The sequence below is a fragment of the Homo sapiens genome, chromosome 14, assembly GCF_000001405.40.
Source record: "Homo sapiens chromosome 14, GRCh38.p14 Primary Assembly".
Classification (NCBI taxonomy): domain Eukaryota; kingdom Metazoa; phylum Chordata; class Mammalia; order Primates; family Hominidae; genus Homo; species Homo sapiens.
This window is the reverse complement of record NC_000014.9, coordinates 81,355,066-81,373,209: the sequence shown is the minus strand read 5'-3', so window position 1 is coordinate 81,373,209 and position 18,144 is coordinate 81,355,066. Positions and strand designations below refer to the sequence as shown.

Below are 18,144 nucleotides of genomic sequence, written 5' to 3'. Positions count from 1 at the left end.
GAATGCCTGCCTTATACCAGGCACTATTCCAGGAATGGGGGTATAGAAGTGAACATAATAGACAAAAATCCCTGCCCCCTCAAGGAGCTTGGATTCTAGTATGGAAGACATGGGCGTGTAGTACATTAGACAGTGATAACACTAAGGACAAATAAAGCAGGGAAGGGGACCTCGCATTTTTGGAGAGAATACTCAGGAATATGCAGAAAGGGTGACATTTTTAAAGAAAAGAGGATATGAACAATGAGAACTCCAGAAAAAGGACCTAAATGCTTTACAAATGCCTAAGGGAATAAGGAATGAAAAATTTTATATTTATACTATTGCAAGCATTGATGTTTATTCTTTCTTCTCTCTTAAATCTCAATTTTTCTTTTTCTATTTGTTTTGGTTTTCCCGGCAGGAGAACTGACATTATCATCTTGGGCAAGTTTCTTAATGTCTTTGAGTTAAAATAAGACTACTGCCTATCTCTCAGGATAGATGGATGAAACAAGACATTTGTAAAATACCTGACATTTGATGGGTACTCAATACATGGTAGTTTCTCTTGTTTTCATTCTTCCTGTCTTATCTAGGTTATTTTCAGCACTTGTTTCAGTACCTGTTGGTAAATTTGCAATGATATGATTCTTCTTCTTCTTTTTTTTTTTTTTTTTGAGATAGGGTTTATCTCTTGTTGTCTAGGCTGGAGTGCAATGGCGCGATCTCACTGCGACACCCGCCTCCTGGGTTCAAGCGGTTCTTGTGTGTCAGCCTCCCAAGTAGCTGGGATTACAGGCGCCCGCCACCATGCCCAGCTAATTTTTGTATTTTTTTAGCAGAGACGGGGTTTTGCCATATTGGCAGGCTGGTCTTGAGCTCCTGACCTCAGGTGATCCACCCGCCTTGGCTTTCCAAAGTCCTGGGATTACAGGCGTGAGCCACCGTGCCCGGCCGTAATGATATGATTCTTATGCAGCACCGTGGAGGCAGCATGTGATAGGAAATTAACTAAAGACAAATTAGGAGAATTCGAAAGTTTCAAATTTGAAAGACTTTAAAAAACCTTTCTAAAGTAGTTTTTAAAGTCTGATTTGGTTCTCAAGACTAAGGAGATAAAGCCAAGTTTTGTACATTTTCCCCTTAAAGGTATTTTTCATTGTATTGCAGCAGGTTGGCAGCCTCAGTAAATCTCCATTTGTAAATGTGACAGTCAGCAGAATCTCCAGTTACAGTCAACTCAAAGCAAGCAGGGGCATGCCACATACATGTTCATATATAGTTACATATCTACTCTTTATCCTTTAACCTAAACTGGCTCTAATGTTTCAGTGTAAATTGGTGAGTTTTTTTGTGCCACTAAAAATGGAGGAAATGTAACAGTAAGGGTGAAACTGCAAGATTCCTGTAGTTTGGGTTTGAAAAAAGCTGAAATCTAAGTTAAGAAGTGAAATTAGACCCTGAAGTAACTTGTGTTCCTTTAGTGAGATTTTCTTTGATTGGAGAGTCCTGGGACCTTACTTTTCTTTTCTTTTCTTTTTTTTTTTTTTTAGACTCAGTCTCATTCATTCTGTTGTCCAGGCTGGAGTGCTGCAAGCTCCGCCTCCTGGGTTCACGCCATTCTCCTATCTCAGCCTCCCGAGTAGCTGGGACTACGGGCTCCAGCCACCATGCTTGGCTAAATTTTTGTATTTTTAGCAGAGACGGGGTTTCACCGTGTTAGCCAGGATGGTCTCGATCTCCTGACCTCGTGATCCGCCCACCTCAGCCTCCCAAAGTGCTGAGATTACAGGCGTGAGCCACCGCACCCAGCCAGGACCTTACTTTTCGTACTGGTTTTGATACTGACTCACCATGGGGTCTCAGTCAGTCAGTTTTTCCTGTCTGTGTCATGAGTGATACTCTCCATACAAGACTTCCTTGCCTCATATGACTGTTGAGATTTCATATGATGTGAGCAACATCAAAGTAAGATAAGCACTAAAGATAAACAAAGTACAACTATTTATATTGTATGCTTTTGGTTTTTGGTCTCTCCCCAGCCCTACCATTGACCATGCCCTGCTGGACATGCCCTTCCTTTGACTCCCTGGGGAGATGCCCTCTGACTTCTGAGAGCAGCTGGACCACCCATTCTGAAGACACCAGCAGTCCTAGCTTTGGATGTTCGTATACAGATCTGCAGCTCATCAATGCTGAGGAGCAGACGAGTGGCCAGGCTTCTGGGGCTGACTCAACTGGTAAGATGGAGCTCTAAGCCAGAGGGCTTTGCAAATCACTTTTGGTGTACCCAGGTCCACTTTAAAGTCCTTTTAAAAATTGCTGCAGCTGGCTTCCTTTGCAGAATGAGTTCAGGTGTTGTTATCCAGTCAAAAAGCTAGAACCCAAAGTGGCTGGAAATTGCATTGGGGAAGATGTATACACAAATTGGATCCTTGGTTGGCAGATTATTCATACTCGGCAACCATTTGACAGTGTATCTTAATATGTTGTTTTCTGACTGTTTGGTATAAATACCATTCTCTGTCAATTTATTTTCTCCTGGAATTACTGAACGTGTGTAAATATGCACAAGGCTGAATCTTTCATCCTACTACCCATGCATCTTGCCTTTTCAATAAGAGGGAGGTAGATTTAAGCAGAGAAAACGAATGTTATATAAAACAGAATGAGAATCAACACTCAGCCACTGTGTCCAGACTACAAATCATTTGGCAGTTAAGTGTTTATTCTGTTGTGCCTTGGTTGAGTGATACATCAATCGGCAATGCACTATGCCTCCTTTATTAAACTTTCCAGTAGGTGTAAGATGGAATGCTGGCTTTCTTTGCAGGTGGAATATGGGTCTGTTAACAAGTGCTGAATTACAGGCAAGGTTTGGGAATGGCACTGGAAAGATACTTGGCATTGGAAAGATGTTCTTGGTGTTTTGGTTATTTGACCCGAGAGATTGGTTTCTTCTGAAAGTGATGAAGTTACTGCTCGTTTCTCTGTGGATGAAATTACCCAGTGTGTTGACAAGATTTGTTTTTCCTCTTCAATGTTGTTCAGAGTTTCTAGATCATTTTTAAGCTTCGGATGTTTGCCCTCATGCTATGTGCCATTCAATTCTACAAGTATAGAGAGCGATCTGTCTTGTAGACTGAAGGCTTCAGGCAGGATTTGGTTTGGTATTTGATAATGTTGCAGAGAATCCTAGTTTATCATGGACTCCCTTTGTCTTCAGAAGCTGTGGTTCTTTATAGCATTTTGTTTTCACAGACACTCCTTCAGTTCTGGTTTGTCTCTGTGACTGATGATCCTGGTTGGTGGCTGAAATATGCCCCCACAGCCCCATTTCCACAGTGGGGGCATCTCATGGATGCGAGCACACCTTCAGCAGCTGAGGCTGTTAGGAAGAGAGGCTGAGCTTGCCTCCCTGCTTCACTTTTCATTGCTCTGGGCCCCCTTTCCAGGCCTTTCCAGGGAGGAGGCCCATATGCATACCCAGACTCCAGAGCCAGACTGCTCAGGTTCAAACCCTGATTCTGCACTGACCAGCTTACTATCTTTATGACTCCATTTCCTCATCTGAAAAATGGGTATACCTCACCAAGTTATCATCTCCAAATGAGACAGTTTATGTAGAATAACTTATGTGATGCTTGACACAGAATAAGTGGCCATCAGGGTTGAAACAAGTTCTCTTTCCTGCTGCAAGGTTCTTGTTGCTTTGGAGAGTTGCAAAATGGGCCCCTCACTGAAGGAAAAGCCAAGATTTCTATGCTGAGGCTGTTTTTTCATTGCCTAATCTACTTTCTTATTAGATGAAAGTTGCTTTAATTCTTGGAGGTTCAAGTGATGAAAATCAGAGCCCTAGCCTGAACTAGACATTATTAGTCTGCCTCCACAGCTTATAATTATTTTTAACATCTCCTTGTTCTAAAGTCATTCTAACAGTGTCATAGTTTGCATCAAGAAAACCTCCTCCCCTGTTTTGGTTGGGGTCCTGGCGGGAAGCAGATGGTGCCCTAAAAAGGTTTATCTGGAGAGAGCTTAATGAAGGGACCACCTACAGAGAAAGCAAGCGCTGGAATCATAGAAAAGGGACTGCCCAACAGGAGCTATGGCGACAGAAAGGACAGAGCCACTGCAGAGATTTGACCAAGCAGGGAGATAGGGAGGAATAAATTCCCAAATCTGGTGCTGGTGTTTCCAACTAGTAGATCCTAGCCTGAGGCCAAAGGACATGAAGCCCTGGGGAAGCAGCCCACAGAGGTCAGTCGCCAGAGCAGATAGAGTGGATCTGAGGTTGGAAGCGGCAAACAGGTGTGTTGGAATAGCCAGCACACTTGATCCTCACCAGAAACTAACTGGCCCCTACGCCAGAGTTTACACCAGAGACTCAAAGGCAAATCTGGGACTAGAGAATGAGGAGGGATGCTCTTATTCAACAAGAGGCAGTTTCTATGGCTACAAGGAGGGTAGAGGTATGGCCTTTTGGCAACCATCCTCTTTTTTGTTTGTTTTTGAGATGGAGTCTCGCTCTGTCACCCAGGCTGGATGGAGTGCGATGGTGCAATCTCGGCTCACTGCAACCTCTGTCTCCCAGGCTCAAGTAGTTTTCCTGCCTCAGCCTCCCAAGTAGCTGGGATTACAGGTGTGTGCCACCGCGCCTGGCTAATTTTTGTTATTTTAGTAGAGACAGAGTTTCGCCATGTTGGTCAGGCTGATCTCAAACTCCTGACCTCAGGTGATCCACCTGCCTTGGCCTCTCAAAGTGCTAGGATTACAAGCGTGAGCCACCATGCCTGGCCCCATCCTCTTTTACAGTAGTAATAGTTATAGCTAGCACTTACTGAGTGTCTGCTGTGTGCCAGCATATGAGGTGTATGATCTGTGGCTTTTACAGCAATCCTGCAAGGCAGGTGTCATTCTCCCCATTTCCTAGTTGACACTGAGTCTGAGAAAGGTGAAGCAACTTGTTAAGAGAACACCACTGAGAAATGGATGACCTGAATTTCAGTGAAACTTCCAAATCCTTTTCCAGCCAGTTCCCAAACAGTCACCATAGTTATTTATTTGCTATGTTACCCCCCAGACCTTCCATACAGATATGTATAGAGGATGCATACAAGCATATATACATATTTTGCCTTGGCTTATTTTTAATATAAATAGGACCAAGGGATTTAAAACAAGATGTGTAGCAGGCAGAGCTTGAGGATAAAGTCCATATGTCCTTGACAGATATGAATGCTTACAGATAACTGCTGTGTGCCCACAGTATTATGTTCTATAAACAAATGTCTGGACATTTTACTTTGAAATCTCCCTATTCTTTAGTAATTAAGCTAGGACCCAGGATGGCCCAGGTGCTAGGGAATGCTTCCATCTGCTTTGACGGACGCAGTCTTCCTTTGCATCTTACCTCCATCTGCCCTCCAGGCCCAGAGGTGACAGGTAGTATATCTCCATGAGCCTGGGAAATGAGGGGCAGTGAAGTGAGTCCTCAGAGAGCAGCTCCGCAGGCCATGGAGACAGTGTCTGGATGCATCCTGAGCTGTAATAACCCATGAGGCTCTTCCTGAACATCCTGACGTGTGCTATCAGGGTAGAGCTCTGGCTTTGAAAAGTCTTCACCTCATCCTGGGTCCCAGAATAGAAGGAGGAGAAGGAAAGACAAAGTTTAGGAGAATGAACAAGTATTTTTCAACCTGTGACATTTAACCATTTACTCCAGTAGCAGGGAATTTAAAAATGCTTTCATTTGTCCAGGCATGGTGGCTCGTGCCTGTATTCCCAGCACTTTGGGAGGCTGAGGTGGGTGGATCACTTGAAGCTAGGAGTTTGAGACCACCCTGGCCAACATGGTGAAACCCCGTCTCTACTAAAAATACAAAAATTAGCTGGGCATAGTGGCGCGCCTGTAATTCCAGCTACTTGAGAAGCTGAGGCAGGAGAATTGCTTGAACCCAGGAGGCGGAGGCTGCAGTGAGCCAAGATCGTGCCACCGCACTCCAGCCTGGCTGACAGAGTGAGACTTGGTCTCACAAAAAAAAAAAGGAAGAAAAAAATGCTTTCAGATGAGCTATCGAGAGCTTCAAGGATATCTGTACACATTGGAAAGCCCTCCAGCCAGGTGATGCCCTGCCCTCTGCCTGGCACCAGGCTTGTGGCAGTGCCAACCTCTGGGAGAGCCCTGCTTTGAGGCTGGATGGTTCCAGTTGGGTAAACCGAAACCCCCTGGGGTTATGGGGCAGATTCCCATCAGTCTGTCCTCCGGGTAAGTCATTTCTTCAGAGCTTTACTTTCTTATCTGTAAAATGGAACTGAGCGATCCTGCTCAGTCAGGGTGACAGGGTATATATGAAGGTGTTTCGTACAGTGCCAAGTGCTGTAGGAATAAAAAAAATCTTAATTTAATATCTCTCTGCCTCATTTCCATTTGATATGGGGCATAAGGATAATTACTGTCGACTCCTCTGTTACCCCCAAAGAAAGCTGTTACTCAAACTATAGCATGTGGAATGAGATCTGAGAAGTGCTTTGCATTTCTCAGCAGCAAGCAGTAAATACAGAGATGCAGTGGGGAGTTCGGTATGATTGGTTTCTGTGCCTGGGGAACCTTGGGAGGAACTGCCTTGGGGAGATGTTTGTCATTGCCCCCCCACCCCCTGCCGTGCCCTTTAGCATTGCAGAGGGTGGTAGAGGTTGAAGAGTTCCTTGGAACTGCAGTCTCATCCGGAGCTCCCTCAGCTGAGCTGGGCTCTCCCTGGCAGCACAGTGTGTCAGGGTAACCACTGGGCACCTCATGTTCTGTGATTCATCTCTTGTTTGGAGAGGGATTACGGTGCTCTGGGCCCAGCCTATTTGCCTTGGCCCCCTTGCTTGGTAGTGGGCTGCCGAGAGCAGAGCCACAGCCTCTTCCCTGTCATCTGCGGCAGAGTTCTGCAGGGATTTGGCAGCCCTGCAGGGCAATCCAGTTCCCAGCATAATCGTGGAGGGAAAGACTCTGTGATCAGCCTACACTTTATTCTCATTTTCTCACCAAGGGGATAATTAGTAGGAAGGCAAACAAATCCCCTTACCTTGGTTAAATCACAGGGTGCGGGGGGGCAGAGCTGGAGAGCAGTGTTGATGTTAGCTCTGAGGTCTGCTCTCAAGAGCGAATGGCAGGAGAATTGTTAATAGGCAAAATCCCAAACAACATTTCACTCCTCTCTTACCCCTCATCTCCACAGGAGTCTCCTTTGTCTAGACAAGGTGGGCACACCCTGCTATTTTCACCAGTCAGGGTAGCTCTGTAATGCCACTAGGTTCACATGGGTTGGTGAACAGTAAGAGGGTCGAGGGAATAAAAGCAAACCTTCTGCCTTTGAAGTTCATTCCAACCAGGGAAGAGAAAATATGTAAATGCTTGCACACAAGCTGCTCTTAAGTAGTAGTCTTTGGTTTGGGTTCTTTTTTTTATTTTTTAATTTTTTTATTTTGAGACAGAGTCTTGTTCTGTCACCCAGGCTAGAGTGCAGTGGCATGGTCTCGGCTCACTGCAACCTCCACCTTCCGGGTTCAAGTGATCCTCCCATCTCAGCCTCCTGAGTAGCTGGGACCACAGGCACGTACCACCATGTCTGGCTAATTTTTGTATTTTTAGTAGAGACGGGGTTTCACTGTGTTGGACAGTTTGGTCTCGAACTCCTAACCTCAAGTGATCTGCCCACCTCGGCCTCCCAAAGTGCTGAGATTAAAGGCATGAGCCACTGCACCTGTCCAGGCTCTCTTTTATGCATAAGAAAAGTGTAGATTTAAGTGTAGGATTAGAATGCTCAGATATATGTAAGCTGAGGATGTCAAGACTGGATGAAGCACATAGCAGGTATTTAATAATTGTTTAATGTACCCTTGAATGTATAGCTTGAGATTGCAGGTGGTGGTCTGCCAAACCCCTGTCAACTCTAGTGGGGATGGCACCAGGTTCACGAGACTGAAGAAGAGACCCAAAGCCAGCAAACAAGACGTGGGCCTTTCCTGGTGGCTTACATACAGGGAAGAGAGTCCAGTGGCGGGAGACTGGACAGGACAACAGCAACCACTTGCAAAAAGCATGCAGTTTGTATAGCATTTTCAGTTAGCACCATTTTGCTAGCAACCTCCATCTGGCAACCTTTATTCAACCCAGAACTTGGGGCCTTGATCCACTGTATAGCCTGTGTTCCATGGGATGGGCTGGGGGCTCAGATGTTCCTCATAGACAAGGAACAAATCCCCAAGTTGGCTACACCAGGATTCATTAGCTCAGCACACACATTCATGTGAATCTGCCATACAGGGTCCTTCTCAGGCTGTGTTTATGTTATTGCTATCAGGTGGATTTACCATACGGGTGGCTAAAATCGTCTGCATCCCTGATGTTTGTATCCCACTTGAACTTAAGAGTCCAGCATTTTCCAAAGTGTGTCCCATGCAAGAGGCCAAAAAGATCCAGATGCTGGGGCCAGTGTATTAGGTCACGCTGTGCCCCCTTTGTTGGAGATTTATAACATGTATTCGCTTATTAAAGACTTTGAAAATTCCCGAAATTATATGTATGTATATGTATAATTTATATTCGTATACATGTATATGTATATGTATACACACACATACATATACAAATGTAGCTTTTCATTAATCTCTACTGCCTACTTGGTCAGATCGTGGTGTACAGAAACCCAAACATACATAAATTGGCAAAGCTGACTTGGAAGTACATGCCATTTTAGCAGTGTTTTCTAACACTGCTAAAGTGTTAGAAAGCTAGAGAAACCAGAAAGAAATATTTTGACAAACTACCTGTATTAGTTAACTTTATAAAGTTAGCCTTACTTTGTCTCTTGCTCTGCTGAACCTCTTGGCCTTTTTAAAAAATATAAAATTCTAGATTCAGCAGACTCAAAACTATATTTTGCCAGACTTTCTTTGTATTTAAACCCTCATAGGCTTTAAAACAAATTTAGACCAGATGTTCTTGATTCATTTGCATTTAACGGATCACAGTGGACTCCTGCCAGAGCAGTAGGATATCCCTAGAGATTTTGAACTCAGTTTCTTTTTCTCAGAAACAAGTGTTTGTATTCTATTTGGATTTTAGAGTCCAGCATTTCCCAAAGGGTGTCTCAAAGTGATTTCCCAAAGTGAGTAGAGAGTTGTAGCCTGGGGAACCTCAATTTTTGTGACAACAACTTTAGATGCTCAGAAAGGTTCTCGTCATTATTTAATAAGATCATCGCCTGGGCTGCATGTCTCTGTACAAGATATAACATGTTTCTCTGTTGCCTGTTTTGCTGTAATCCTGCTGCAGCTCATAGAGCTCCAAACCAGAGTGGAGGGCCCAGATTTGCAGGTAAACAGTGATTACCGTTGTGCTTGATGGGATTACAGGAAATTTTTGTGTTCTTAAGGCACATCTCTATTTTATGATATTTTTAAACCTTGAATATATTTTGCTTGGATAACAGAAACAAGTTAACTAATTTTTAAAATTCTTTCTCCTAGTTACAAACGTCAGAGATACTCATCTTTTTCCTGAACAATATTTTCCTTCCTCAAAATGGAAGAATAGCAGAGCAGTTTTTTTTTTGAAAACAAATCACATCTTTTCACTCTTTCATTAACAAATTTGACCTCATTTCTGTTCTTATGTATTTTTGTCTTCATTTGTTGTGCATTTTAGATTTTAATCCTTATTAAAACCAAAAAACTCTAATGATTGCTTTGTTTGAAGCTTTTTCCAGGAGGTTCAAAAGTTTCTCAGAAACACATATATTGAGTTCCTACCATTTGGCAGTTACTGAGAATACAAAGAAAAGTAAGCTATGTGATATTTTCCCATGAGGAAGTGATAATCTGCAAACAGCTTTTTTTGCCATTAAAATGATTTTTATATATAATTTTTAAAATTGTTTCTATGTGTAATTGTTTCTACTGTGTGCCAGGAATGTCCTATATACTTTATACATATATTATCTCATTTAATCTTCACAATTTAAAAGTACATATTATCCCATTTTATGAATGCAGAAACAACAGCTAAAGAGGTTAAATGATTTGGCAAAAGTCACACAAATAAAAAGGGTAGTTGGGATTCAACCCAAGTCTCTTTCCTGGGCTCACCCTGCCCTGTGCCTGGTATACTGTGGGAGGCTGGTGTTTGTGAACACAGTCGCTTGCTGGAAGGAGCAATTATAGAGAGCCTTCCCCAGATGCAGTGCTGCCTCCGCCACATTTCTCAGGAGCAATATACAAACCCCCATCATGTGCTTATTTCACTGGACCACAATTCTTTGTTTAGGAGTCCTCCGCTGGACCGAGACCTTTGTGTAAGCAGGAGCCACTTCTATTGTATATCCCCAGCATGTTGCCTGGCACATTGAAATTATACAGTGGATTTTTGTGGAATAAATTAATCCTTTTTTAAATTTAAAATTTTTAAATTATAAGTAGACAAATTATATGTATTTATGGGGTACAAAGTTATGTTATGATTTTTTAATACAATGTGGAACAATTAAATCAATTAACGTATCTATCACCTTAAATACTTATTATTTTTGTGGTGAGAAGATTTGAAATGTATTCTCTTAGCAATTTTCCAATCTAAAATACAATATTAGTCACTGTATTCATCACACCATGTAATATATTTTCAAGAAATAAAAACCTTATTACTACTGTCTAATTGAGGCTTTGTACCCTTTAACCAACATCTACCCATTCCCTGCATCTCCCTAGGCTCTGGTAACCACCATTCTACTTTTTACTTCTTTGAGTTTGATTGTTCTACATTCCACATATAAGGGAGAATATTTGGTACTTGTTTTTCTGTGCCTGGCTTATTTCACTTACCATAGTGTTATCCAAGTCCATCCATGTTGTTGCAAATTACCAAATATTTTTCTTTTTAAAGGCTAAATAGTATTTCATTGTGTATGTATGCCACATTTTCTTCATCCATTCATCCACTGATGGACACTTAGGTTGATTCCATAACTTGTGTATTGTTTAATAGTGCTGTAGTGAACATGGGCATGCAGACATCTCTTTGGCATACTGATTTCAAATCTTTTGAGTAAGTACCCAGAACTGGGATTGCTGGATCATATCATAATTCTATTTTTAGTTTTCTGAGGAACCTTTTTCATAATGGCTGTACTAAATTGCATTCCCACCAACATTATACAAGGGTTCCCTTTTCTCCACATCCTCACCAACGCTAGTTATATTTAATCTTTTTGATAATGCCATTCTGACAGGTGTGAGGTGATATCTCATGGTGGTTTTAATTTGCATTCCCCTAATGGTTAATGATGTTGAGTATTATATATATATTTGTTAGTCTTTTGTATGTCTTCTTTTGAGAAATGTCATTCAGGTCCTTTGCTTATTTTTAAATCCAATTATTTGTTTTCTTTCTATAGAGTTGTTTGAGTTTTGTATATATCTTGGATATTAATCCTTTATCAGATATGTGGCTTACAAATATTTTCTCCAAATTCATAATTTGTCTCTTCACTCTGTTGTTTCCTTTGTTGTACAAAAACTTTTTATTTTGATTTAATCCCATTTGTCTTTTTTATTTCGTTTCCTGTGCCTTTGGGGTCAAATGTAAAAAATCATTGCCTAGACCAATATTGTCTAGTTTTTCCCTTATATTTTCTTCCAATAGTTTTACAGTTTCAGGTCTTATGTTTAAACCTTTAATCCATTTTGAGTTGATTTTGTATATGGTGTGAGATAAGGGTCTAATTTTATTCTTCTGCATGTGGATATCCAGTTTCCCCAACACCATTTATTGAAGAGATGATCCTTTTCCTAATGTGTTGGCACCTTTGTCAAAAATCAAATGACTGTACATGTGTGGTTTCATTTCTGGGCTTTCTGTTCTGTTCCATTGGTTAATGGGTCTCTTTTTATGCTAGTATCATGCTCTTTTAGTTTCTATATCCTTGTAGTATTGTTTCAAGTAATATGGTGTGATACCTCCAACTTTGTTGTTTTTGCTTATGATAGCTTTGGCTATTTGGTATTTGTTTTGTTTTGTTTTTAATTCAGTGTGGAATTTTAGGATTGTTTTCTATTTTAATGAAAAATGACATTGGAATTTTGATAGGGATTGCATTGATTCTATAGATTGCTTTGGGTGGTATGGTCATTTTAACAGTATGAATTATTCTAATCCATGAGCACAAGATATCTTTCCATTTATTTGTATCTTCTTAAATTTATTTCATCAATATTTTATAGTTTTCACCTCTTTGGTTAAATGTATTCTTTTGTTTTTGTAGGTATTGTAAATGGAATTGTTCTCTTGATTTCTTTTTCAGAACATTTGTTGGTGTATAGAAACAGTACTGATTTTTGTGTGTTGATTTTGTGTCCTGCAACTTTACTGTGTATGTTTATTAGTTATAACAGTTTATTGGTGGAATCTTAAGTGTTTTCTATATGGAAGATTATGTTATCAACAAACAGTGGCAATTTCATTTCCTCCTTTTCTAATTGGATGCCTTTTATTTCTTTCTCTTGCCTAATTTCTCTAAGGATTTTCAATACTATGTTGAATAGAAGTGGCAAGAGTGGGCATCCTTGTCTTGTTCTAGGACTCAGGGAAAAGAGTTTCAGTTTTTCACTGTTAAATATAATGTTAGCTGTGTGTTTAATCACATATGGCCTTTACTGTGTTAAGGTACATTCCTTTTATACCTAATTTGTTATTTTTTTTATCATTAAAGAATGTTGAATTTTGTCAAATGTTTTTGCTGTATCTAATTAGATGATCTTTTTTTATCTTTTATTTTGTTAATGTGATTATCACATATATTGATTTGCATATATTGAAACATCTTTGCATCCCAGGGATAAATGCCACTTAATTATAGGTGAATGATTATTTTAATGTGCTATTAAATTTAGTTTGCCAGTATTTTGTTGAGGATTTTGGCATTTATGTTCATGAAGGATCCTTTCCTGTAGTTTCCTTTTCTTGTAATGTCCTTGTTTGGCTCATAAGAAGAGCTATGCTGGCCTCATTAAAAGAGTTTGGAAATGTTTTGTCTTTAATTTTTTTCAAGAGTTTGTGAGGATTGGAATTCTTCTTTATTTAAAAACATTTCTTTTAAGACAAGGTGTTGCTCTGTTGCCAAGGCTGGAGTATAGTGGCATGAAGACAGCTCACTGCAGCCTCAACCTCCCAGGAATGAGCGATCCTCTGCCCTCAGCCCCTTATGTGGCTGGGACCACAGGTGTGTACAACCACACCTGGCTAATGGCAGACTTCAGCAGTAAAGCCATTGGGACTTTTCTTTGATGGAAGTTTTTTGTTTGTTTGTTTGTTTTTAAATCACTGGTTCAGTCTCCTTACTGGTTATTGGTTTGCTCAGATTTTCTATTTCCTTGTGATTCAGTCTTGGTAGATTACATTTGTTAGGGAATTTATCCGTTTCTTCCAGGTTATCCTACTTTTTGGCATGTAATCGTAATATTCTTTTAATATCCTTTGTATTTCTGTGATTAGTTGTAATGTCTCCCCTTTCATTTCTCATTTTATTTACTTGTGTCTTCCATTTTTTCTTAGTCTAGCTAAAAGTTCATCCATGTTATCTTTTCAAAAAACCAACTCTTCGTTTCATTGATTTTTTTGTATTTTTCTAGTCTCTACTTCAGGTATTTCTGCTTTGATCTTTATTATTTCTTTTTTCTATTGACATTGGGCTTAGTTTGTTCAGCTTTCTCTGTTTTCTTGAGGTGTACATTAAATTACTACTTGCAATATTCCTTATTTTTTGATGTAGGTGTTCATTGCGATAAACTTTTCTCTTAGAACTGTCTTTGCCACATTCCATAAGTTGTGGTACATTGTGTTTCTGTTTTTGTTTGTCTCAAGATATGTTTAAATCCTTTTAATTTCTTCTTTGACCCATTGGCTGAGAGTCATGTTGTTTAATTTCTATATATTTGTGAATTTTCTGAAATTCTCCATGTGATTGATTTCCATTTGTTTACACTGTGGTCAGAAAACACACTTGATATGATTTCAGTCTTCTCTAATTTAATAAGACTTGTCTTGTGACCCAACATATGATCTATACTGGATAATGTTCTGGATGCACTTGAGAAGAATGTATATTCTGTTGCTGTTGGATGGAATGTTCTGTATATGTTTGCTAGGTCCATTTGGTCTAAAGTGTTGTTCAAGTCCAATGTTTCCTTATTACTTTTCTGTCTGGTTAATCTGGCCATTATTGAACATAGAGTATTCAAGTCCGATATGATTATTGTATTGCAATATGTCTTTCCCTTCAATCTTTTAATGTTTGTTTTATGTATTTAGGTGCTTCGATATTGGGGGCTTATGTATTTATAATCATTGTATTCTCTTGATGAATTGACCCCTTAATCATTATATAATGTCCTTATTTGTCTCTTCTTACTGTTTTTGACTGAAGGTCTATTTTGCCTGATATAAGTATAGCTATCCCAGCTCTCTTTTGGTTGCCATTTGTGTGGAGTATCTTTTTCCATTCCTTCACTTTCAGTCTATGTGTGTCTTTAAAAGGGAGGTGACCCAGCATATAGTTGGGTCTTGTTTTTTTATCCATGCAGTCACTCTTTGTCTTTTTATTGAGTAATTTAATCAATTTACATTCAAGGTAAGTATTAATAGGTAAAAACTTACCACTGCCATTTTATTAATTGCCTTCTGGTTGTTTTGTAGATACATTTTCCTTCCTTTCTTCTGACTTCATTTGTGATTTTATGGTTTTCTGTAGTGGTATGCTTTGATCCTTTGTACTTTTGCTCTTCTACTAAAGATTTTTGCTTTGTGATCACCAAGAGGCTTACGTAGAACATCTTATACATCAGATCGCCTATTTCAAGTTGATGATAATTTTGATTGTATATAACAACTCTACACATTTACTCCTCCCTCCCCCCACACCTTATGGTTTTAATGTCAGAATTTATATTATTTTGTAATGGGTATCCTTTGACAATTTATTTTAGCTATAGTTGTTATTAATAGTTTTGTTTTTTAACCCTTAATGCTAGGGATAAAATTGCCTTACACATCATCATTATAGTACATTTAGAGTATTCTGAATATGGCTCTGCTTTACTTATACCATTGGGTTTTGTGCTTTCTTTTTTTTTAATTTTTTTAATTTTATTTTTATACTTTAAGTTTTAGGGTACATGTGCACAATGTGCAGGTTAGTTACATAGGTATACATGTGACATGCTGGTGCGCTGCACCCACTAACTCGTCATCTAGCAGTAGGTATATCTCCCAATGCTATCCCTCCCCCCTCCCCCCACCCCACAACAGTTCCCAGAGTGTGATGTTCCCCTTCCTGTGTCCACGTGTTCTCATTGTTCAATTCCCACCTATAAGTGAGAATATGCGGTGTTTGGTTTTTTGTTCTTGCGATAGTTTACTGAGAATGATGACTTCCAATTTCATCCATGTCCCTACAAAGGACAAGAACTCATCATTTTTTATGGCTGCGTAGTATTCCATGGTGTATATGTGCCACATTTTCTTAATCCAGTCTATCACTGTTGGACATTTGGGTTGGTTCCAAGTGAATAGTGCCACAATAAACATACGTGTGCATGTGTCTTTATAGCAGCATGATTTATAGTCCTTTGGGTATATACCCAGTAATGGGATGGCTGGGTCAAATGGTATTTCTAGTTCTAGATCCCTGAGGAATCGCCACACTGACTTCCACAATGGTTGAACTAGTTTACAGTCCCACCAACAGTGTAAAAGTGTTCCTATTTCTCCACATCCTCTCCAGCACCTGTTGTTTCCTGACTTTTTAATGATTGCCATTCTAATTGGTGTGAGATGATTTCTCATTGTGGTTTTGATTTGCATTTCTCTGATGGCCAGTGATGGTGAGCATTTTTTCATGTGTTTTTTGGCTGCATAAATGTCTTCTTTTGAGAAGTGTCTGTTCATGTCCTTCACCCACTTTTTGATGAGGTTGTTTGTTTTTTTCTTGTAAATTTGTTTGAGTTCATTGTAGATTCTGGATATTAGCCCTTTGTCAGATGAGTAGGTTGTGAAAATTTTCTCCCATTTTGTGGGTTGCCTGTTCACTCTGATGGTAGTTTCTTTTGCTATGCAGAAGCTCTTTAGTTTAATTAGATCCATTTGTCAATTTTAGCTTTTGTTGCCATTGCTTTTGGTGTTTTAGACATGAAGTCCTTGCCCGTGCCTATGTCCTGAAATGGTAATGGAGCTGGTTTTTTGAAAGGATCAACAAAATTGATAGACAGCTAGCAAGACTAATAAAGAAAAAAAGAGAGAAGAATCAAATAGATGCAATAAAAAATGATAAAGGGGATATCACTACCGATCCCATAGAAATACAAACTACCATCAGAGAATACTACAAACACCTCTACGCAAATAAACTAGAAAATCTAGAAGAAATGGATAAATTCCTCAACACATACACTCTCCCAAGACTAAACCAGGAAGAAGTTGAATCTCTGAATAGACCAATAACAGGAGCTGAAATTGTGGCAATAATCAATAGCTTACCAACCAAAAAGAGACCAGGACCAGATGGATTCACAGCCGAATTCTACCAGAGGTACAAGGAAGAACTGGTACCATTTCTTCTGAAACTATTCCAATCAATAGAAAAAGAGGGAATCCTCCCTAACTCATTTTATGAGGCCAGCATCCTCCTGATACCAAAGCCTGGCAGAGACACAACAAAAAAAGAGAATTTTAGACCAATATCCTTGATGAACATTGATGCAAAAATCCTCAATAAAATACTGGCAAACCGAATCCAGCAACACATCAAAAAGCTTATCCACCACGATCAAGTGGGCTTCATCCCTGGGATGCAAGGCTAGTTCAATATACGCAAATCAATAAATGTAATCCAGCATATAAACAGAACCAAAGACAAAAACCACATGATTATCTCAATAGATGCAGAAAAGGCCTTTGACAAAATTCAACAACGCTTCATGCTAAAAACTCTCAATAAATTAGGTATTGATAGGACGTATCTCAAAATAATAAGAGCTATCTATGACAAACCCACAGGCAATATCATACTGAATGGGCAAGAACTGGAAGCATTCCCTTTGAAAACTGGCACAAGACAGGAATGCCCTCTCTCACCACTCCTATTCAACATAGTGTTGGAAGTTCTGGCCAGGGCAATTAGGCAGGAGAAGGAAATAAAGGGTATTCAATTAGAAAAAGAGGAAGTCAAATTGTCCCTGTTTGCAGACGACATGATTGTATATCTAGAAAACCCCATTGTCTCAGCCCAAAATCTCCTTAAGCTGATAAGCAACTTCAGCAAAGTCTCAGGATACAAAATCAATGTACAAAAATCACAAGCATTCTTATACACCAATAACAGACAAACAGAGAGCCAAATCATGAGTGAACTCCCATTCACAATTGCTTCAAAGACAATAAAATACCTAGGAATCCACCTTACAAGGGACGTGAAGGGTTTTGTGCTTTCATAATTTTTACGTTATTTATGATTTAATAGCAGCATTTTGCTTCAACTTTTAAAAACTTCACTTATCAGTACCTATAAGGTAGGCATACTGGCAATGAACTCCCTTAGCTTTTGTTTGTCTGGAAAATTTTTTATTTTTCCCTCATTTCAGAGGCAGCTTTGTTGAACGAAGTATTCTTGGTTGGCAGGTTTCTTTTTTCCTTCTGCACTTTGAATATATCATCTCATTCTCTCCAGACCTACAGTTTCTGCTGAGAAATTGATTATAGTTGTATTGGGACCCCTTTGTATGTGATGTATTTCTTATCTCTTGGTGCGCTCATAATTTTTTATTTGTCTTTGATTTTTGATAATTTAATTATGTGTCTTTGTGAACGCCTCTTTGGGTTGAATTTTATTGGAGACTTCTGCACTTCCTGTACCTGGATGTTGTCATCTTTCCTCAGGTTAGAGAAATTTTCAACTATTATTTTTTAAAATATGCTTTCTGGCTCCCTTTCTCTTTCTTCTCCTTCTTGAATTTCTGTTGTGTGAAGGTTAGGTCTCTTGATGGTGCCTTATCCATAAGTCCTGTAGGCTTTCTTCATTCTTTTGCATTCTTTTTTTTCTCTTCTGAATGGATAATTTCAAATGTTCT

The 18,144-nt window shown here is 39.5% G+C and overlaps 1 protein-coding gene across 15 annotated transcripts in view; it reads left to right on the top strand.

The window, feature by feature from the left end:
• Window positions 1-18,144, top strand: part of STON2 (stonin 2) — a 175,814-nt gene that overhangs the window by 63,256 nt on the left and 94,414 nt on the right. For all 15 annotated transcript variants that reach the window (XM_024449736.2, NM_001366850.2, NM_001366849.2 and 12 more), the window contains one exon: window positions 2,025-2,222. In XM_024449736.2, coding sequence (XP_024305504.1) covers window positions 2,025-2,222 — 198 coding nt within the window. The remainder of the gene's footprint in view (window positions 1-2,024; window positions 2,223-18,144) is intronic.